The 21,805-nt window shown below is 56.1% G+C and overlaps 1 protein-coding gene across 4 annotated transcripts, besides 1 other annotated feature; it reads right to left on the minus strand.

The window, feature by feature from the left end:
• SLC4A1 (solute carrier family 4 member 1 (Diego blood group)) lies at positions 1,130–20,875 on the minus strand. Of its 4 annotated transcripts, NM_000342.4 has the most exons (20): positions 20,794–20,875; positions 15,592–15,674; positions 15,376–15,466; positions 14,315–14,376; positions 13,375–13,555; positions 13,144–13,279; positions 12,549–12,672; positions 12,237–12,321; positions 11,903–12,084; positions 11,153–11,363; positions 10,726–10,920; positions 10,399–10,547; positions 10,090–10,284; positions 8,413–8,586; positions 7,947–8,036; positions 7,236–7,402; positions 5,858–6,111; positions 4,159–4,328; positions 3,899–4,072; positions 1,130–3,278 (listed from the first exon to the last, which is right to left on the minus strand). In NM_000342.4, exons 2-20 carry the CDS (start codon positions 15,604–15,606, stop codon positions 3,198–3,200), a joined length of 2,736 nt encoding a protein of 911 aa, NP_000333.1. In that variant the 5' UTR covers positions 15,607–15,674; positions 20,794–20,875; the 3' UTR covers positions 1,130–3,197. The 4 variants fall into 4 exon arrangements, with proteins under 4 accessions (NP_000333.1, XP_011523431.1, XP_005257650.1 ...); XM_011525129.3 differs by lacking the exon at positions 7,947–8,036; XM_005257593.6 differs by lacking the exons at positions 15,376–15,466; positions 15,592–15,674; positions 20,794–20,875 and adding an exon at positions 14,767–14,806.
• Positions 9,814–10,770: an enhancer, noted in NCBI's record as "H3K4me1 hESC enhancer chr17:42334442-42335398 (GRCh37/hg19 assembly coordinates)". NCBI's record gives its function as "activates a minimal SCP1, AML or CMV promoter by ChIP-STARR-seq in primed H9 embryonic stem cells {active_cell/tissue: H9 hESC(primed)}" and the evidence as "EXISTENCE:reporter gene assay evidence [ECO:0000049][PMID:30033119]".

Genomic DNA, 21,805 nt, shown 5'->3' on the forward strand with positions numbered 1-21,805 from the left:
AGTGTTTCAGAATTGCAATTAAAAACATGGAGAGGGGCTTAACCCTTGGCAGGGGCAGGAAGTGGTCCCCCAAATTGAGGCAGCATTTATTCCCCTAAGTCCAGATATGATGAGCTGGAAAAGGATGGAAAGGATCCTTTTCCAGGCGATGGAAAGGATCTACCAGGAAGAATTAGCCCAGTAGAAAACGGAGACCCAGAGAGGGGACTGGCTTTTCCCAGGTTGCACAGCCAGCCTGTGGAAGAGGCCTGGGGATGCCGGTGGCCTGAGCTCTCTTCAGGCTTGTCTCATAGCCTGACTTCTGGGTACATGGACGTGGGGAATGGAGGGTCTGGCAAGCCCTGGGGACAGGGCCAGGGCTGTGGGGATCTGCAGCTGCTGTGTGTGGGAGGTGGACGCTGGGACGGCTCTCCCCTGGCAGAGTTAGCTCTCTGACCCTTTGGCAGCTGCCCTGGCTAGCCTGGGAGGGGTCAGCTGGGGATAGGCAGTAAATATAGATCTAGGGCAGGAAGCCAGGCGGCCCAGCCCTGCACTGACCTCTCGTTGGAAGTCTAGGGAGGGCAGATGTCCAGTCCTGGAACCCTCCTCTCCCGGGGTGGGGGACACCTAGCCCAGCAACACCCTAGAATTGCTGGAAGTGGTTGGGGGTAGGGGACAGAGCCTCCAAAGGGGACCAGGATGAGGGTAAGCAGAAAGCTGGCCAGGAGACGCTGTGCCTGTGTGGCCATGTGCCCTCTCTGGGCCTCTGTTTTCTTCTCTGGTCATCTCTGTCAAAGGTGCTGTCCAGCTTCCCGGTAAGGGGTCCACTGATCTAAAGGGAATTGGGGGCTCACAAGTATAAGGAGCAGGGGGCAAGGTCCCCTTACAGTCCCTCCTCCCACCCCCACAGGTCTTGCTTATTCAGGAGAGGAAGGAGTCTCAGAGCATAATCTCATCTCTTGCTCCCTACCCACTCTCTGGGTGCTGGCCTCCCACCCTAGGGCTCAGGGTCACACCTCAGCCTGGCTCCCCTTGCTGCATAGATGCAGCCCTGTGCCAGGCCCGTGCCACACACACCATGCCCACCTAGTTCAGCCAAGACCCCCGGGACCCCCGACTCTGGGAACGGGAATTCAGGCAAGGCAGCCACTCCAACACAGATACGTTTATTGGCAAAACCTATTCCCAGGCATCAAGGGGAAGGGTGCTAGCAGAGTGAATAATTTTTGTTTTTCACTTTCCTTGGCCATGTTCAAGGAGCAAGGGGAGGGGGAGACAGGGACATCCCAGTCAAGATAAGGAGGATCCCAGCAGCTCCCCTCCGAGGTTGGGCTCTTCACCAACCAAGGCCTTTTCTTGCACTGTCTCCTTTAATCCTTATAACAACACTGCAAGGTAGGTACCATTATCATCCCCATTTTACAGACGAGGAAACTGAACTGTAGCATGGGCGAAGTGGTGAAAGGTGGGTGTCAGCTTTCAGGGACAGGAGAGCCTCCCATGGACTGAGCTAGCCTGGGAGGTACAAATAATGTTACTCTATGTTGGGCTGGAACCCCACCACACACACATGTTGAGTCTGTGGCCCCCAAGGCTGATGTTTCCTTCCGTTTTTTTTTTTTTTTTTTTTTTTTTTTTGAGACAGGGTCTCGCTCTGTTGCCCAGGCTGGAGTGCAGTGGTGCAATCTTGGCTCACTGCAACCTCCACCTCCTGGGTTCAGGTGATTCTCTTGCCTCAGCCTTCTAAGTAGCTGGGATTACAGGTGCCTGCCACGAGACACCCAGCTAATTTTTGTATTTTTAGTAGTAACGGGGTTTCACCATGTTGGCCAGGCTGGTCTCAAACTCCTGACCTCAAATGATCCGCCCAACTTGGCCTCCCAAAGTGCTGGGATTACAAACGTGAGCCACTGCGCCCAGCCACCTCCTCTCTTTTCTACCACTTCCTGATTCTGTTTCCTCCATCTCTCACCACTTTCACGTCTTTCAACTCTTTTTATCTTTTTGTTTTATAAAAAAATAAATTTGCCCATGTTCTTGGAGAGCCTGCTGTCTCCTACCCCAATTGGTCAGATCTGGGTTCTCCCCAAGATTCAGTTTAGATGGAGTTGAGGATAATGGCTCTCAAATGAGGGGCCTGAAGTTGTGTGTGAAGCCAAACTATGTTGAAAACTCTTAGAAAATACGCAATTAATAAATTACAAACCCCCTCACTCTCCCGCCCCTACCTTCCCACCCTCCCCCACTCCCTATCCAAATGTAGAATCAACTGTACCTTGCCCCCCACCCCCACCCCAGGGCAGGGCTTGTCTCAGTCCCCTCGGAGTCCACTGATTCCGGGGCCCTCAGTAAATGTTTGTGGAATGAATGAATGAGTGAACTAATGAGTGTTTGGAGGGAGGAACCAAACACTTAGGAGGCCTGAGTCCCAGGCCCAATCCCTGGATCATCCTTGCCTGTACCTTGTCCTCACCAGGACGCCTCTCTCTGGGCCCAGAGAAGAGGGTCTCAAGGTAGGGGCTGGGAGCAGAGTGGGGAAGGGAGGAGTCACAGGGGAAGGGAAAGTGGACGCATGACTGACAGAGGACAGAGCTCGGACCTTGAAATCAGAAGGCCTGGTTCAAATCCCAGCTGCACGGCTCAGTTCAAATCCCAGCTATGTGACCTTGGGTACGTTCAAAGACAAATGATGACTGCTATAGAACAGTCCCTGTGGAGTTTACAAAGCCCTATTTTACATGTATCTTTGGTCCTCAGTAACCATCCTGTAATGTGGGTATTATCATCAATATACCCATTTTACAGAAGAGGAAATATAGGCTGGAAAGGTCAAGGGACTTGCCCAAGGTCACACAGCAAGCACCCCACCCGCTCACCCACCTCCTGCCTTTGCTTCTACCCCTGCCTGTGCTGGGAAGAGGGAGGGCTCAGATCTAAGTCTTCCAGCACGGGATCCCCAGTGAAAGTGTGGCAACAGGAGGGACTGTGCAACAAACCCCCTAATGTGGGCCCCATCGGCCATCCCCAGCCAGAAAAGCCAGGCTACCCTTTGTGGAAGGTCTCCTGGACACGCCTTCCTTCCCCACCCACAGCCCTGGGGCCTCAGCTGCTGCTCCAGGAGGATCCTGGAGTCCATGAGGTGCCCATGAACTTCTGCTTTTCCTTGGAAGGTGGGGATGTGGAATGGTGGGGGAGGGTCTAGGGCCTGGGCCCGCCCCTCACACAGGCATGGCCACTTCGTCGTATTCATCCCGACCTTCCTCCTCATCAAAGGTTGCCTTGGCATCATCAGCATCCAGCTGGAGGGGAGGGACAGGAGAGAGACAGGGTGAGAGACCCTGGGGCCAGAAGAGCCCTCCCCGGGCACGAAAGGCACCTCTGGAGTTAGGAGAGGGTCTGGCTGTCTTGAACCTTGGACCAGTCCTGTTTTATCTCCCCAGCAGCTAGGACTGGCCTAAATGAGTCGTTGTCAAAGTGAGAGGCAACCCCGGGGATGTGGACCCTGGCAGGGGAGGGCCTGCAGAGGGTGAGCAGGGGACCTTTTCACCAAGGCGGCCCCACAGTGACCTGAGTCACCCTGTGGAAGAATCCTATTAGAGGAGTGACTCTGTCCCAAATGACTCGGAAGACGGCAGGACTTGCTGCTTAGGGGTCCAGCTCACTCACAGCACACCCTGTCTGCCTCTTGACGCTCTCCCCAGTCGTGCCATCATTTCCCCCTTTACAGGTGAGCAAAATGAAGACACAGAGAAACAAGGCCCCGTGCTCCAGATCATATGCTAGGACACAGCAGGCCAGAACCTGGACACCAGCCCTAGCCCCAGACTTTACCCATGACTCTGTCCTGCCTGCCCTAGTTCTGAGACGCGCCCCTCGCATGCTCCCAGCTCTTGTGCCCCAGGCCCAGGCAGCCACTCACACACTGAAGCTCCACGTTCCTGAAGATGAGCGGCAGCAGGACGCGCCGCAGCGGCACAGTGAGGATGAGGACGAAGGGCAGGGCCAGGGAGGCCGGCGTGGACTTCACCACCCACAGCACTGCCAGGCAGATGATCTGGATGCCCGTGAATAAGTGCATGCGCCAGGTCTTCACCTGCAGGCGGAGGCTGGGGTCAGTGCCTATCACACCCCAGCACCCTCTACCACCCCAGGCTGGGCAGCCAGAAAAGGGTCCTGTACCCGCTTGACGTAGGGCACATCTGGGTGATACTTGGGTGGCTTGAACAGAAGCAAGATGCGGTCAAAGAGCTGGATGCCGCTGAGCGACGTGACCCCCATGTAGAGGAAGATGCCAAACAGTACAGCCAGGGGGATGCGGGACAGGATGGGCTCCATGAGGATGGACAGGCCTGTGGGGGAGCCGCACACTCTCAGCCCAGGTTGCCCGAGGCCTGGCACCAGTGGGGGGTCAGGCCCCTATCTGGGGCTGGGAATAAAACACAGGCACCATATGGAGCCATTTCTTTTTTCCTTTTCTTTTCTTTTTTTTTTTTTTTTTTTGTTTTTTTTTTTGAGACAGGATCTCGCTCTGTCACCCAAGCCAGAGTGCAGTAGTGTGATCTCGGCTCACAACAGACTTAACCTCCTGATCCCAAGTGATCCTCCCGCTTCAGTGTCCCTAGTTGCTGGAACTACAGGCACATACAACCACACCTGGATCATTTTTTTTTTTTTTAATTTTTAGTAGAGACAAGGTCTCACTATGTTGCCCAGGCTAGTCTTGAACTCCTGGGCTCAAGTGATTCTCCTGCCTTGGCCTCCCAAAGTGTTGAGATCCCACGCCTGGCCTGGAGCTATTCCTATGGGTCTTTTTTTTTTTTTTTTTTTTTTTTTTGAGGCGGAGTCTCACTCTGTTGCCCAGGCTGGAGTGCAGTGGTGCAATCTCAGCTCACTTCAACCTCCGCCTCCTGGGTTCAAGCAATTCTCCTGCCTCAGCCTCCCAAGTAGCTGGGATTATAGGCGTGCGACACCACGCCCAGCTGATTTTGTAATTTTAGTAGAGACGTGGTTTCACCATGTTGGACAGGGTGACCCACCTGCCTCAGTCTCCCAAAGTGCTGGGATTACAGGCGTGAGCCACAACCCCCGGCCTCTATCGGTCCTTTTTATAGGTATTACCCCAATTTTACAGATGAGGAAACAGGCTCAGAGAGGTAAACAACCTGCCTAAGGCCACACAGCTGGCAAGGAGTCAAAGCCCTGCCTGCCTGACTTAAGCCCACTCCCTTAACCTAATGAGGGTCACAGAGGTCAAACACACACACCTTTCTCCTCACCCCAGCCCAGAATGCCATCAACTGCCTCCTTTAAGAATTTTCCCTGACCTCTCCATCTGCAACCATGGCACTGCCCACACCGAACCCAGCTCGACTCTTGGCTGCTCCAGAACTGAAATCAACCCCAGTGACCCTTCTTTCTTCTCCCCCACATCCCTGGACTATGGCTAGAGCACCGCCCCTTGTATCAGTCATGGAGCAGCTGAGCTGGAAGAGAACTGGGGGACATCTGTTGAACCCTCCAACTGTGCAGACAGGGAAACTGAGACCCAGAGACAAGGAGGGATACTGGGTTAGCAGCAGGGCAGGGCTAGAACCCACAGTTCACTGGACTTCTGTTGGGTAAGTCAGAAGGTGGGGTCTGGTCTGGAGAAGGCCTCGGAGTGGAGCCCCCTTCCTCCCTGCTCAGACGCCCAGCCCAGTGCCTTGGCCTTTCCTCCAGGATCCCCTCGTGTGAGTAGGGGATGCTGGGGAGATGTGGGGAAGTGGTGCAGGATGGGGGAGGCTGGAGGAGGTGCTGGGTCCGAACAGAAAGGGGAAGGGGAAGGGGCCGGGGGTGAGGGGCAGGAGGATGGTGAAGACGCGACCCAGCTTTCACTCACCCACAAGCACAGCGACCAGGAGTCCACTGATCCGCTGCTCTTTGACCTCCTGGATCTGGGCTGCAGCCCCTGGGGTGCTGGCTTTGCCCATGACAGTGAGGGCGTTGGCATGGGTGACGGAACGCACGGTGGTGGCACTGAGCCAGGGCATCCCAAAGAGGGCGGCCACCCCACCCATGCCTACTACCAGCAGCAGGTCCAGGTGGAAGCCGGAGCCCTTGACCATCTTGCGCTCAGGTTTGCTGACAATCAGCCTACGGTAGGGGAAGGTGAGGGGTAAGCAGGGTTCTCCCCTGCCTCCTCCACCCCCTCCTTCCTTCTCCATACTTGGTGTCCTTGTAGCTCAGTTTTGTCTTCTGTGCCCCTCGCTCTTTGAGTTCCTTGCTCCCCTCCCTCCCGCCCCATCTTGAGAATCCAAACTCTTAAGAGCAGAAATGTCTTCACAACATTCAAGGCTGATTCGCAGGCAACGAAGCTTCAGCTTCAGGGAGCTTTGCTTGTACAGGCCCCTCCAAGATCCAGCACCTAATTTTATAGTTGTCATTTTGCATTTTTTTTTCTTTTTCTTTTTTTTCCTAGAGTCTTGCTCTGTCGCCCAGGCTGGAGTGCAGTGGTGCGATTTTGGCTCACTGCAACCTCTGCCTCCCGGGTTCAAGTGATTTTCCTGCTTCAGCCTCCCAAGTAGCTGGGACTACGGGCACATGCCACCACACTCGGTTAATTTTTGTATTTTTAGTAGAAACGGGGTTTCACCATATTAGTCAGGCTGGTCTCAAACTACTGACCTCGTGATCCCCCCGTCTTGGCTTCCCAAAGTGCTAGGATTACAGATGTGAGCCACCTCACCTGGCGCTTTTTTTTTTTTTTTTTTTTTGAGATGGAGTTTCACTCTCGTTGCCCAAGTTGGAGTGCAATGGCGAGATCTCGGCTCACTGCAACCTCCGCCTCCCGGGTTCAAGCGATTCTCCTGCCTCAGCCTCCCAAGTAGCTGAGATTACAGGCTCGTGCCACCATGCCCGCCTAATTTTTTGTATTTTTAGTAGAAACAGGGCTTCACCATGTTAGCCAAGCTGGTCTCGAACTCCTGACCTCAGGTGATCTGCCCGCCTCGGCCTCTCAAACTGTTGGGATTACGGGCGTGAGCCACCGCGCCCGGCCACGTTTTTTTTTTCTTAAAAAGAGCTCTCCAAATTATACAACTTCTGGTCCCACAAAACCTGGAACTGCCCCTGGCTTTTCACTATTCCTGCTAGTCGGGAGGGCCACACACCCGCAGGGACTAGCTTGCAGTCCTGGGTCTCTTGCCTGCCTGGGAGAATGCCAGGGAAAGGTCCCTGCCTCCCACCCTCCCAGGCCCAGCCCCCACCCTGTCTCTCACGTGGTGATCTGAGACTCCAGGAATATGAGGATGAAGACCAGCAGAGCAGGCAGGGCGGAGGCAAACATCATCCAGATGGGAAACTCGGAACGCAAGCCCAGTGGGTGGATGACCCAGCCCCGGGCTGAGGAGTTGGACACCTTGAAGCCATCAGGCACCGAGAGTTTCTGTGGGAGGGGGTAGCAGGTAAGAATGCCAAGGGCAGGAGGATGGGGAAGGGTGGGAGCAGGAGGAGCCAGGGTCCTAGGGGTCGGGCAGTTAGGTTGGAGGCACTTGGGAACTTACTTATATTGAGCACTTGCTCTGTACCTAATCATTACACTAATCCCTTTACATCCATCTGCTCGTTCCCCACTTTAAAGATGAGGAAAGAGAATCAGAGAGGTTATGTAGCTTGCCCCACATCACACAGCTATTTGATGGCAGAGCTGGGATTCATGCCTAGATCTGCCTGGCTCCAAAGAATACTTCTTCCTACTGCTCTGGGTTAAGGAATGAAGGTGGCAACCTGGCCCAGCACCTTGCTTTGGCCACAGGGGTCCTCTGGGGCTGTGAGAAGCACATGGGACTCCCAGAGGAGGCAGGGATGGGGTAGAGGTAGTCCCAGCTGGCTTCAGGTTGGGGAAAGCTATTCTAGGGAAGGGGCATGCTGGGGGGTGGAAATGAGGACCTGGGGGGTATCATGGTCTGAGGGCTGGGAGGAGGGGTCACCTGGGTGTAGGTATCCTGAATGAAGAAATCCACCAGGACCATGATCAGGATGGAGATGGGGACCCCGAAGTCCCCGATGACCCGACGCAGCTGGGGGCAGGTGAAAGGACCAGTGGTCAGTGCCCAGTCACTCCCCACCTCCTGCCTTCCTCCTGCCCTATATTCACCCACGGGGCCCTGCTCTTCCAGGGGATCCATCAGCATCTAATGCCCTGTCCTGCACCTCAGCTATGTCTGCCTCCTTTCTTCTTCCCCCAGCAGTTCTCAGGCTGGGCATGCCATGAAAGTGGGAGGGGCTTGCCCATAGAGTGAAACCCTAGGTAAGGATAGGGCCAGGGGAGGTTGGAATTGGGAATGGGAATCTGAAAAAGAAGGGAAGCTAAGGGCACTGAGGAATTTGGAGCGGGGGGGCTTTGGGCTGGGATAGGGCAGTGTTGGCAAGGACAGGCGAGGAGGGTATGCTGACCTTGCCAGGGAAATAGGAGCTGTTCTTGAACTTGCGCAGCATCATGGCAAAGAAGAAGGTACCGGCCATGAGCACAAGGGAGAGGAGGGCTGTGTTGGGCAGGGGGCCCTGAGGTTTGGGCACCATCAACACGTTGTAGTTATAAGTCTTCTGTAGTGGGTGGTCCTGGAAGATCTGCAGCAGAAAACCAAGGCATTCTGTTCTCTCCCAGCTTTGGCTTGGGCTGGAAAATACCACCAGCTAACTCTACCCAGCACTACTATCCATTCATCCAGTCATCTATTAATTCATCATCCATCCATTTATCCACCCATCCATCATTCATCTATCCATTATCCATTGATCATCCATTGATTATTCATCCATCCATTCATTATCCATCTACCCATCCATCCACCTACCTATCATCTATCAACCCATTTATCCATCCATTCATCCGTCCATCATCCACCCACTCATTCATCAATCATCCATCCATCCAACCATCCATCCATCCATCCATCCGTCCATCCATTATCCATCTATTCATCCATCCATCCATCTATCTTCTTCCTCAATTGACATGGAAACAGAGGATAAATGGGATTCTACAGCTTGGTTTTCAGGAATGAAGACAGCCTAGGTTTAGGCAGGGAGGGCCATGGAAGGCAATGGGTGTGTGTGCGAGCACACATGTACACCCAGGACCTGGGAGACATGAGAAGGCTGGAGGTCAGGAAACAAGGGTCAGGGAAGTTTCTAACAAGGGGTTAAAAGACCTGGACACAGAAAGACCCTCCATCCAACAGAATCAGGGGACAACACATAGGGCTCACCCTTCTCCCATATAAAATGCAGGTACAAAGGCAAGCAGAGCTTAAGATGATGGGAGCCAAGCCAAGGTGGCTGGGCACTCCATCCACAAGCCCTGCAGCTCTTGAGGACAAGCACAGGGGAGGGAGTGGGGGACTTCAGAGGCTCCAGAGTCCCCCCAGCTCTCACTGTGCATGTACTTTCACATGCTCAGTGTCATGCCCATACCTACCCATTGCTCACGTCATGTGTGGTCATGAACTGGACATGTGCACACAGAGGCACCCTCTCATGCCTCAGCAAGAGTGCTGGCCACAGGCAGCAGGTGCCAACACATATGTGGTCACAGTCAACACAGCTGCACAGTCCTGTGTGCAGATGTGTGACTACACAGACATAGACACATATGTTGACACAGACACATATGTTGTCACAGTCATGTGCACAGTCACATGGTTATGTACACAGGTGAAAGCAAAGACACACAAATGCTGCACAGACACATGTGCGAGGACACAATGGCTCAGTCTTTTTTTTTTTTTTTTGAGACGGATTCTTGCTCTGTTGCCCAGGCTGGAGTGTAGTGGCACAATCTCGGCTCACTGCAACCTCCACCTCCCGGGTTCAAGCAGTTCTCCTGCCTCAGCCTCCTGAGTAGCTGGGATTACAGATGCATGCCACCACATCTGGCTGATTTTTGTATTTTTAATAGAGATGGAGTTTCACAATGTTGGTCAGGCTGGTCTTGAACTCCTGATCTCGGGTGATCCACCTGCCTCGGCCTCCCAAAGTTCTGAGATTACAGGCCTGAGCCCTCGCACCCGGCCACTGTCTCAGTCTTATACACAACCTCCCGTGTGCATTAACATCCCCATAGGCCCCCACCTTGATCAGCTTGGAGAAAGTCTCATAGATGAAGATGAGGGAAATGAGGAAGGAGAAGATCTCCTGGGTATAGCGGGAGATGAAGCGGACCAGGAAGCTACCCTCGAAGGCCACCACCAACACCACCAGCAGGATGAGCCAGAAGCCGATCCACACGCGGCCCACGATGTACTCTAGACCGTTGGTCTCGCAGAACTGCAGGGTGGTCAGAAGAAGCCGGTCAGTCAAAGGGTCTTGGGGCAAGGCACCATGCATCAGGCAGGTGGTGCGGGGGACATGACAGGGTCAGTGGGGCAAGGACAGAACTACCGAGAAGAAGGCTTCCTCAAACACCAGCAGGGGTCCTGAGAAGCCGACCACAAGCAGGGGCTGAGCCCCCAGCAGGGCGAAGAGAATGCCCTGCACTGCAGTGGAGATCAGCAGCTCCGACACTCCCATCTGGTTCCGGGTCTTTTCTCCTGTGGGTAGAGGTCACAGTGGGATCAAGGTCAGGAGATCATTTCCAGGAGCCCATAGAGCAAGTCATGGTCAGGCTGATGCAGGGGTCTGGAGGGTCAGACAGAGTCAGAAGTTGGGGCTGAGACAGAGGCCAGAGGGTCAGAGGCAAGAGTTAGGGAGACAGGTATTGGCACTGACCCAGGAGGCCGCCGAAGGTGATGGCGGGTGACAGTGCAGCAAAGTAGATGAAGATGACGGCAGCCAGGACCTGGGGGCTGAATGCATCTGTGATGTCACTCAGGTAATAGGGGTAGCGGCGCCGGATATCACGCACCAGGCCCCCGAAGAGCTGGCCTGTCTGCTGCAGAGGGTCATCTGGGCCCCCATTTAAGTCTGTGGTGGAGGATAAGAGCATGGTCAGAGGGAGTAGCTGGAGGAGGTGAGGGGAAAGGGGACTGGAGGGTGTAGGGGAGATTGTCTGATGGGAATGGGGCGGCGAAGAAGTCTGGAAGATGTGGGCAAAGGGAGCGATGAGAGGGGAACATGTGATGGGAGACAGAGGCTACGCTGAGGTGTCTGGGGGTCGGTGGGGGCTCAGAAAGCCTCAGCTGGGAAGGGCAGGTACCTAGGCCCTTGTAGAAGCTGGAGTCTGGCTTGGCAGGGCTGGACTGATAGCGCCTTCGAAGTAGCTCCCTCTGCACAGGCACCAGACTGAGCAGTGCCTGCTCGGAGGGGGCATCGGTGGGAGGCAGCACTAGGCTGCAGTCCAGGAAGCCCTCTAGGGAGTGCAGCAGCTCCCCTCGGCTCTGAGCCATGTAGGCATCTATGCGGAACACCTAGGGGCAGGAGACAGGGTCAGAGCTGCCCGGACCTGCGGAGGGAAAGGACCCAGGAGTCCACAGCCAGGGCCTCCAGGAACCAGAACCCCCTCAGGCAGCAGCTCCCATTGCCAGGAACTGCTTTTCCTGCCCGCTCCCACCCCTACTCTCCCCACTAAGAAAGAGCTCTGGGGAGACAGACGGGGGCCCTGGGTGGGGAAAGGAGAAGGAACTAAAGCTAACCTGGTGGGTTAAGCAGACTAGATGAAACTAGAGCTGACTAGGCCCGACCAAGCCTGACCTGACCAGGTGGAACCAGGTCATAGTGAGCTGGACTAGACTAAGCCAGGCCAAAGCCAACCAGACGAGACCAGGCCAGAGCAGGGCCAGACTGCACGCCCCGACTGCCCCCGCCAGGTAGGATAGCAGCAGCTGGATTAGGCTGAATGGGTCAAACCAGTGAACCTAAAGTAACCCAGGCCAGGTTGGAGAGCAGGCCTCAGCCACCATGCAGGTCCCAAGCTTCCCCAGCCCAGCCCTCTCCGGCCCTTCCTTACCCTCTCTGACATGAGGGTGGCAGCAGCCCGGCCAAGCTGGGTGTAATCGATGTGGGGGGCCTCAGGTCCCAGCAACACAAAGAGGAAGCGTATAGGCACCGGCAGCTCCACCGCCTCCAGCTCCGCTGCCTCCTGCAGCCTCACGAAGCCCAGCACCGGCTGCTCCAGGAAGTCGGCGCGGCCTGTTAGGGGATGAGAAGATCAGGCCAGGCCGAGGAGCCCAGGGTGGGTGTGCTGAAGAGATGGGGCTGCGGGGGTCCAGGCTGAGGGAAAGACAGGCTGAGCCAAGACACGAGGGGTGTGGAGGGCTGAGGGTAGAGATGCCTGTTCTTACCCACTAGCACCAACGTGGCCTCTGAATCCGGGGGAATCTTTTCCAGAATTCCAGATGGTGAGTGCCCTTCTGTGCCCCCATCTCCCTGTGGGAAGGAGGGTGGTGACGGGAGTCCTCGGGCCAGTCTGACCTGGGAGACCTGAGCATCCTCCCCTTCCCATTCTCGCTTCCCAACTCTCCTGGCACCCCCCGGGCACAGGAGTGCTTCTGGTCCCCTGCTTGTGGTCGGTTTTTCAGGACCCCTGCTGGCGTTTGAGAAAGCTCTCTCCTTGCCCCACCCTGACCCTGACCCTGACCCTGTAACTGACTCACCTGCTCACAGAAGAGCTGTGTCTCCAGTGAGGAGTGTTGGGGGAGCAGAGGCTGTGAAGGATCCCCAGAGCGTGTCAGGACTGCAGGCTTCACACCCCCCAGGGCCTCCAGCTCTCCAGCGTGGCTGCAGGACGTACAGGGGACATGGGCTGAGTAAGCTGTTCAGGCTGAGCTATCAGTGGTGGGAGGGATCAAGGGCGAACATCAAGGGACTGGGGTAGACATCAAGGGTAGACATCTGGGACTTCCCAGACCAGACCAGAGAGACCCTGGGATGGAAGGAGAATCAGAGCCTCCTCTCCAAGGACGTTGTAGATGTAAGTGGGTGGCCTCTGGAATGACGAGGCGGGATCAAGAGTGGCTACAGAAAAGGGCCTTGCAGGTCTGCCCTCCTGGGGACCAACAGCCCCCAACTCTGAGCATAGGACATGGCCACCCCTTTCAAGGTGTCAGAGATGGGAGCCATAGTGGAGGAAAGTGGGCCCCTGCCTGGTGAGGGTAGGGCCACCTGGATCCCGGGGGAGAACTTGGGGCAAGTGGGCTGGGGAAGTGGGCCCACTGGATATGGAATCCAGGCCCTGGCAGGCAGGGGCACCTGTGTTTAAGCAGCAGGGCCCGGAGCAGCTCCTCTCGGTCCTGAGGCCGGATCTGGTCTTCAAAGATAAACCTGTCTAGCAGTTGGTTGGCCACTCCAGCCAGGGAGGTCTCTTGCAGGTCTAGGAGGACAGTACCTGCAGGCAGTGGAGGAGTGAGCTGGTAGGCTGGGCCACAGCACCCCACAACAATCCTCATCTGCAGGGGGTCCAGAAGGGCCCAGGAGGCTCACCCTTGGTGAAGACTCTACGCAGCTCTAGGAGGCTCCAGAAGGTGAGGTGAGAGAGGTGCGGGCGGCCCCAGGCCCCATTCTCCCCCAGGTTCTCCTCCAGTTGCACCCAGCGCGCCGCCTCCATCCATCTCAGCTCCTGGTTCTTTTCGTCCATCACCAGCTCCTGCAGCTCCACATAGACCTGTGGCCCCATGCGCCTGAGTTAGTTCATCAGGCATAGTCCAGGGCATAGTGGGTGCTCAGCCACTCTCGAGAGAGGCTTGTGCTTGTGAGGCTTGGATCCCTGTGCTCAAGGGTCCGTAGATACGGCTCACACCACTCCCTTATCTCCCAACTTCCTGGCCAGGCCTTTACCCCATTGCAGAAGGCATTTGGAGAACCCTGACCCAAAGGGATGCTGGAGAGGCCACTGGGGAGGGAAAGGAGTGGGAAGCAGAGGCCTGGCGGGCCGAAGCTAAAGGGGACTTTGGAGTCATTGGGTCAGTCTCCAGCCTCTAAGATTGTTCGTGGATGTGCTTTAGCATGTCCCTGAGGCCAGGTGGTTGCTCCAAGGGCCATAGCTGAGGGCCACCCCAAATTTCTAACCACTTAGACAGTTCAGTGCCCAGTGGGGACCTGAGGGGCCTGGGCAGAGGAGAACAAGTCTTTAATTCTGTGCTTCCCCAGTGACGCCCGACAGCCCAGCCAGGGCCTGAGGGCCTGGGGACTCAGCCCTTGTCAATCAGGTTATCTCTGCCCAGGGTGCTCCTGGAAAGGGGCCCAGGCCTCCCCATCAGTGGGGCGTCCCTCCCACCTGTTTCCTGGGATCCTCACTCCTCTATCTGCTGCAGGGTCTCCCCCAGCCTGAAGCTGCCTCTATCCCCTTGCTCCTCTCTTCCCTGATCAAATGGTGGGTCCCAAAGGCAGCATGGGAAAGAACGGAGGAGGCTGGGGTCCTCACCTTGTGGGTACCCGGGTGTGATGTGGTGTGGTAGTCTGTGGCTGTTGCCTCGGTGTCGTGAGCTGAAAACCAGAGGTCGGTTAGTATTGACCTGACCGTCCCCCACCTGAGGCTCTTCACCATCCACTGTGAGCCTCAGAGACCCAGGCATGGGCAGATGCCCCTCCTTCCCAGTGCCCTGGGCTGGGTCTCTGGTGCCGCATCCCACACTGGCCACTCAGCAGAATGAGGCTCCCCACACTTGTGTGCTGGGCCTAGCCTTGGGCTCCCTATCTGAGCCTTGTCGAGGACACCCGGGATTCAGCCAGGGAGGCCTAGCCCCTCCGCAGTGATGAAGTGAAGGGACCTCTCCAAGGTGACGGCAGAGCCCTGAGTGGCAATTTTCAGGATCCTCCTAGGACCTCCTCCCTCCCCTGCCACCTCTGAGACCAGACTCCCTTCTCTCCTCCCACCTGCCTCAATGAGCCCGTCAGCACAGTGTCTCACTGAGCTGAGGCACCAGGGTGGGTCAGCCCCTTATATTCCCACCCCTCCCACCCCCAGCCCTCATTTCCAAGAGGGGCCTCTTAACTTTAATCCCAATCTCCAGCACTTAAGTCCTGTTGACAGTAAACAGGTCCTGCCTGGGGCTCCCCACCTAAGACCTTGGACAGGCCAGGGAAGGCAGGGTGGTTCCTGGTGTCTTTCTATCTAGGAGGGTCCCCACAAGCCCCTCATTTCTCAGGACCTCTTTCCCCAAGAACAAGCCCATTTTCTGGCCTGGAAGCTGGCATTGGATGGGCACAGATGGCATGTGGGCTCACGCCCTTGTCCCAAACTGGCTGCCCGCCCTTCTCACATTGCAGGGGCACTGGATGGGTGACTGCCCCTGCTCTCCCAGCCACCTCCTGTGATCATTTCAAACAAAGCTCTGTTTATCCTTCAATCAGCCAGAATTGAGGGGAGAACGGCCCGTGGTGCTTGGGAGGAGGACTGTGGAGAAGGGGAGAGGACAAGTGCCCCTCCTGTCCCTGTCTAGGGCTCAGCAGCTCATCCCAGCTGAGGGAGGGAGAGGGGCTCACCTGCCGGCTCCTCCATCTGGGACTCGGGGATGTCTGGGTCTTCATATTCCTCCTGCTCCAGATTCTCCTCCATCATGTCTTCATAATCATCCTGTGGGAAGTGGCCGCTGAGGCTGGGCTGTGAGGGGCTCTTCCACCCCCAACGAAGATAGGAGTCTAGGACCAGGTCCCCAGAGCCTCCAGGTGGGAGCACTGCTGATGCCAGGGAACACCCACCTGCAGCTCCTCCATGGCGTGGTCCTGAGTGTCCAGTTGTCTACGGTGATCTGAGCCCCCAGCATAACCCGCACCGCGGGTCCCTGCAGCAGAGGGCACAGGCTGAGTGGGGCACAGGGCATCCCAGGGTCTCCTGGTCCTCCTCCAGAGGGGGCCACATGTCAGTGGAGGGGATCCACGTGTTGGAGGTGGTAGGGCCAGAGGAAGGAAGTGTGGAGGGAAAGGGAGAACGAGCTGGATTTGCAGGTGTGAGGGTAGGTGAGCAGGGGCTGGGAGAGAGGGGCAGTGCAGGGAAGAGGTAAGTCTGGCTGGCACCAGCGAAGGATGTTTGGGGAAGATGGGCAGGTCACCCTCAGGTCCATCTCCCTCCTTCATTCTCTAGTCTTCACCTGGCTTCTTTTCTTGCCCATCCCTGGGACTCAGCTAATACCAGGGGACCTGCTGGTCTCTTCTTCAGGGGGGCTTAGCTCCCCTGAGGGGCTCTAAACACATGCTCTTCTCTCAGAAATAGCTGCTGCCCACCGGGCATGGGCTGCAGCATCCTTGGGAGTGGTCCGCAGGTCTGGACGATGTGGTCCTACTTCTCTCCCTGACCCCATCTTGCACTCCGTCTCTCTCGCTCTCTCCCCACCTAGCCTATTGGCCTCCTGTGGTTCCTAGAACTCACTAAGCCCTTTCCTGTCCCAGGGCCTTTGCACATCCAGCTGTCCATATCCCGGACACCCTCCCCCCAATACCTCAGACCTTCTCACATCTCGGCCCAAATGTCTCCTCTTCAGAGGCCCTCCCTGGCCACCACCTTGACCCAATCTGTCATGTTCTGGTTTCTTTTCCCTCCCTCCTTCCCTCCCTTCCCTCCTTCCTTCCTTCCTTCCTTCCTTCCTTCCTCCATCCCTGCTTCCTTCCTTCCTTCCTCTCTCTCTCTCTTCCTTTTTGAGACAGAGTCTCACTCTGTCACCCAGGCTTAGAGTGCAGTGGCATGATCATAGTTCACTGCAGCCTTGAACTCCTGGGCCCCAGGGATCCTCCTGGCCCAGCCTCCTGAGTAACTGGAATTATAGGCATGCCACAGTGCCCAGGTAATTAAAAAAAAAAAAATCTGTGTGTAGAAACAGGGTCTCACTATCTCAGTGTGGGCTGCTGATTTCTTTCTTCTTTTTTATTTTTTTGAGAGCGGGTCTCCCTCTGTTATCCAGGCTAGAATGCAGTGGCATGATTACAGCTCACATCAGTCTCAAACTCCTAGACTTAAGTGAACCTCCCACCTCAGCCTCCAGAGTAGCTAGCACACACCACCATGCCTGACTAATTTTTAAATGGTTTCTTGGTTGGGCGTGGTGGCTCACACCTGTAATCCTAACATTTTGGGAGGCTGAGGCAGGCAGATTGCTTGAGCTCAGGAGTCCGAGACCAACTGGGCAACATAGTGAAACCACATGTCTACAAAAATACAAAAATTAGCTGGGTGTGGTGACGTATACCTGTAGTCCCAGCTACTTGAGAGGCTGAGGTGGGAGGATTGCCTAAGCCTGGGAGGCAGAGGTTGCAGTGAGCCAAGATGGCACCACTGCACTCCAGCCTGGGTGACAGAGTGAGACTCTTTAGAAGGAAAACAAAACAAAACAAAAAAACCAATACGTGGTTTCTTGATTGATTTGTGTTCATATTATCTGACAATGCTTTTGGAAGGGAAACTACCTGAGTGCGAAGACCCTGTATGTCCCATCCCCACGAAATTCACTACTCCTAGCAGAGTGGCTGTCACGTAGTAGGTGCTCAATAAACATTTACTGAATGATTGTAAGAATGGCTCCCTATTGCGGGGTTGGGGCTCTGAGACTGGGGAGCCAGGATGACTAGGCCCCAGCCAAGAGGCCTCTGAGCTCGGGGTCTCAGTTTTCTCAGTTGTGTCCCTAGCAGAGAGGAAGGTGTGCCTTCCCCAGGAATGTGAGGGCAGGTCCAAGGGGAGGACAGGGGTCACCTAAGGTGGCCCCAGACTGGGTGTGGAGGTGCCTCTTTTCCCTCCTCGCCCACTACAGCACAGGGCATTGAGGTGACAGGCAATTGGGTCGGTTCAACAAAGGTTCCCACTCTGTGCCTGGCATTGTGTTGAGCACTGGAGGCTGTGGGGAGGGGGTGCCGAGCACTGGGGGCTGTGGGGAGGGGGTGCTGAGCACTGGGGGCTGTGGGAGGGGGTGCCGAGCACTGGGGGCTGTGGGGAGGGGCTGCTGATCACTGGGGGCTGGTGGGAGGGGGTGCTGAGCACTGGGGGCTGGTGGGAGGGGGTGCTGAGCTGAACAAGGCCCGTCTCTACTCTGGGGAAGCTCCTAGCCGCGACAGGGAGGCAAACTGGGAACACAGGGCAGCCTCAGTGCTTCCGAGGTGACATGGACCCCAGGGGCCGAAAGTGCTGAGTGCCAAGGATCTGTATGGCAGGAAGAAGAGCAGGACGCGTTTGCAGCACTCGGGGGTGGAGTCACCGGAGGAGGGGTCACTGGCGCTAGCCTAAAAACACAGGTGAGTTTTTCTTGTTTTTGAGACACAGTCTTGCTCTCTCTCCCAGTCTGGAGTGCAGTGGCGCGATCTTGGCTCACTGCAAGCTCCGCCTCCTGGGTTCACGCCATTCTCCTGCCTCAGCCTCCCGAGTAGCTGGGACTACAGGCGCCCGCCACCACGCCCAGCTAATTTTTTGTATTTTTTTAGTAGAGACGGGGTTTCACTGTGTTAGCCAGGATGGTCTCAATCTCCTGACCTCGTGATCCACCCACCTCGGCCTCCCAAAGTGCTGGGATTACAGGTGTGAGCCACCGTGCCCAGCCAAGCACTGGTGAGATGTGAAGGGCTGGGAGTCCAGATGTGAGGCATGCCTGGGTGGAGCTGAACAGGTGGGCTGAGCAAGGTGGGAAAATGCCACGTGAGGGCATGGGGCAGGGAGCCTGGCCAACATGGTGAAACCCCATCTCTACTGAAAATACAAAAATTAGCCAGGCGTGGTGGCGCATGCCTGTAATCCCAGCTACTCAGGAAGCTGAGGCAGGAGAATCCCTTGAACCAGGGGGCAGAGGTTGCAGTGAACCGAGATTGCGCCACTGCACTCCAGCCTGGGCAACAGAGCGAGACTCCGTCTCAAAAAAAAAAAAAAAAGAAAGAAAGGGATGTGCAAACAGCCTTCTTTCTGAGGAATGGGTGACCCTGCAGTCCTGGGGGTAGGGAGGGGATTACTGGATCTCACCAGACTGGAGAATGGGAGAGACCCCTGCCTTGGCAGGTGGGGCAAGTGATGGGGTGCGGGGGAGGGGTCCTGGACCTGAGGACGAGGTAGTCCCTACTGCAGGGCTTGGCTTTGCTCCTGAGGACCCTGATGACCCACCTCTTCTCTCTCTTTTTCCTCCTCCCTCTCTGCTTCTCCCAAAGTTCCTCTTTCTCTTCCATCTTTATTCACTTTCTTCCTTCTCTGGACTTGCCCATGCACTTTCTTAGGCCTCAGATGCTAAGGCCTCCAGGGTGTCTAAGCCTTAGGTACTAAAAGTCCCACCCATGGGGCTGGGACTGTGGCCTTGGTTGCCTATCTGAGGAGTGGAATGGTCAGAGGGGCCCTCAGAGCTGCAGAATCCAGAGGTCCAGGCTGCCTCTCTGCCACTGACTGGCTGAAGGGCCTTGGGCAGCTTCCAGCCTGTAGGCCTCAGTCACCCCATCTGTACAATGGGAGTGCCTTCCTGCCAGGGTTCTGAGACATCAGTGAGAGAGAAGAGGGGAAAACAGAGGTGCCTTGAGCTCAGTTGGAGACTTACAGGGCGCACCCATGACCCAGATTGCCACCCGCCAGCCAGGCCGCCCCCCAGCTGCAGGCCTTGTGCTGCCTAGCACTGATAAGGGCCTGGACCCAGATCGCTGCCCCAAGTTTTGGAAGTGCACCAAACACCTGGCCAGCTAGCCAGCTGGCCAGGGCCAGGCCAGATAAGGGTGAGCGGGACATCTGAGCCTAGAAGGTATAGCACAGCTGGGAAGACACGGCGGGAGAGGGGATTGACCAGATGACAGGGACAACTTCCTAGTGGTATGGCACCACCTTTGTGTAATCAGCCCGAACTGCACAAAGAACTGTACTGCCTTAACTCTTAGAATCCCCAAAGCATTCTGTGAAGTGGTTTGGGGATTCTAAGAGGAAGAAGAGTAATGTCATTAATCCATTCTACAGATGCGAAAGCTGAGGTTCAGAGACATTTACCTGCTTCAGCCACCCAGCAGGTAGGTATCAGAGCCAGGTTACAGCCTGGACTACCTGACTCCAGCCACATCCCTAAGCACTATGCTAAGTTGCCTCCAACAAAACAACTGTTAGCTGGTTTAGAGTTAGTTGTTAAGATCACGGACTCTGCAGTCGGACTGCCTGGATTCAAAGCCCAGCCCTGCCATTTACTAACGGCGTGTGACTTCAACTCTCTGTGCCTCAGTTTTCTCATCTGTAAAATGGGGGTGATGATAATGATGCCCATCTCATAGACCTGTTGTAAGCATTAAGGAAATTTACATTTGTAAGGGGCTTAGAACAGTGCCTAGCATATAAGGAGCGCTATGAAAATGTTTGCTGTCATTATCCCTTGCTGCTGGGGTTACAGTCAGACTTGCCATCTTCATTTCCCCTCTGATTTGCCCTCAGTTCCCATGGAATTAGCCTGAGCTAAGTGTTTTGAGATTCTCATGTGGTAGGAGGCTCTGCAGTTCCCTCCAATACTGACCACGCTGGGCGTGGAGCCAGGTGCCCCAGGTAGACCCCTGGAAGTGTCCCAAAGGGGATACTGTGTCAGCTGACATCCTGCCTCCTAGGTGGGAGAGGGGGTGGTCTGAGGACCCCATTAGGAAGGAAGGAGTCTGGGGTGGACAAGACCTGACCCTGTGGGATCCAACAAGCTGACAAGGGCCCATACCTGGAGGGGATCAGATACCCCCCGCAACACACGCACCGGAGCCACACATACCTCTGCTGCCATTGACCACCTGCCACCCTCCTCTTTTCAGGTGCCAATGGGCCTGTTCCCTTAGGGGCAACATATGCATGGTAACATTCTCACCCCACCCACCTGCACCCCCTTGGAGGTCAGGAGCCTGGCCCACCTGGGCATAGATTCAGGCTGGGCACCTGTAGAAGCCCTCAGGGCAGGCACCGAAGGACCATCCCCAGCCCCTCCCTGCCCTGCCCACCTGCTCACGAGCCTCAGGGTCCCTTGGTGAAGTCCTGCAGCCGCTGGTGCCCTCTGCGACCAGCTACGTTCCCACTCGTTCTGACAGCACCAGCGCCCCAGGGGCAGCTCGCAAACCCCTGACTCATGCCCCCGCCTCCTAATCTGCCCGCCCCACTGGCCCTGGGAGCCCCTTCCCACACCCCCCACCCCGCTCCCACTGGGTGCCCAGTAAACAGAGTTATCTCTTACCCACATCTGGACAGCTGTGAGTCTGGCCCACCCCACCCGCCTGGCCAGCCCCCAAGGCCTCTCGGGGCCCTCCTGGTCCCCATGGTTCTCCTGACTCTTCCTTTGTGGATGAAGGTTTGATCGCTCTGTCCTCAGGGCTCCCAGTGCCCTGGCAGGAAGGCACCAGCCTCCAGAGGTCCCTGTCCTGCCTCTGTCCATCCTCCACTCTGGCCAGGCCCTTCTGCTCTGGCCCCAAGGTGCAAGGGCGCCTGCTCCTCTCGTCTCTCTTGGTATCCACGCTAGGACTCACTCCTCCTCTGCAGTTTTCTCCACAGGGAACTGCTCAGCACTCACGGGGCACGGACAGCCCCCTCCCCTCCTTGATCCAGACTAGGATGCCCCAGCCACATTCTCCCCAAGACCCTGGCTGGTTCTAAAGAGCTGGCTCCTGGACACTAAGACACTGACATTCAGTCAACCTGAAACAATGTCAGCTCAACAAAACAACCATCCCCACACCAAGCTCTTCAACTCACAAAGCTCTAATGTCTGGGCATACTGGCTCCTCTGTAGGCAGCCTGGCTCAGGCCCCCAGGCCAGAACAGCCGCATTCTCAGCCCCTGCCATGCCCCTCCCCTTCAGTTCCCACCCCTACACCCCCAGTTTCTCTGCTCTGGGGGGTGACCAGAGCCTGGTCACCTCTTCGTAGGCTCTGGTTGCTAAAGAGGCAGAGACTGAAAGATGAGTACAGATCAGCAAGAATGAAGAGGGGTTTTCAAGCAGACAGAAAGGGGTGTTGTGGC

This window comes from Homo sapiens, chromosome 17 (genome assembly GCF_000001405.40).
Source record: "Homo sapiens chromosome 17, GRCh38.p14 Primary Assembly".
Taxonomy (NCBI): Eukaryota; Metazoa; Chordata; class Mammalia; order Primates; family Hominidae; genus Homo; species Homo sapiens.

Bases quoted from the DNA above. Each gene is read 5' to 3' on its own strand.
- SLC4A1 (NM_000342.4), bottom strand. The intron at 14,377-15,375 runs GTGAGCCCCTCT...TCTGGTTTTCAG, and splicing joins CCAGATGGAGGAGCCGGCAG to CTCACGACACCGAGGCAACA. The intron at 4,073-4,158 runs GTACAGGACCCT...CTCCGCCTGCAG, and splicing joins ATGTGCCCTACGTCAAGCGG to GTGAAGACCTGGCGCATGCA.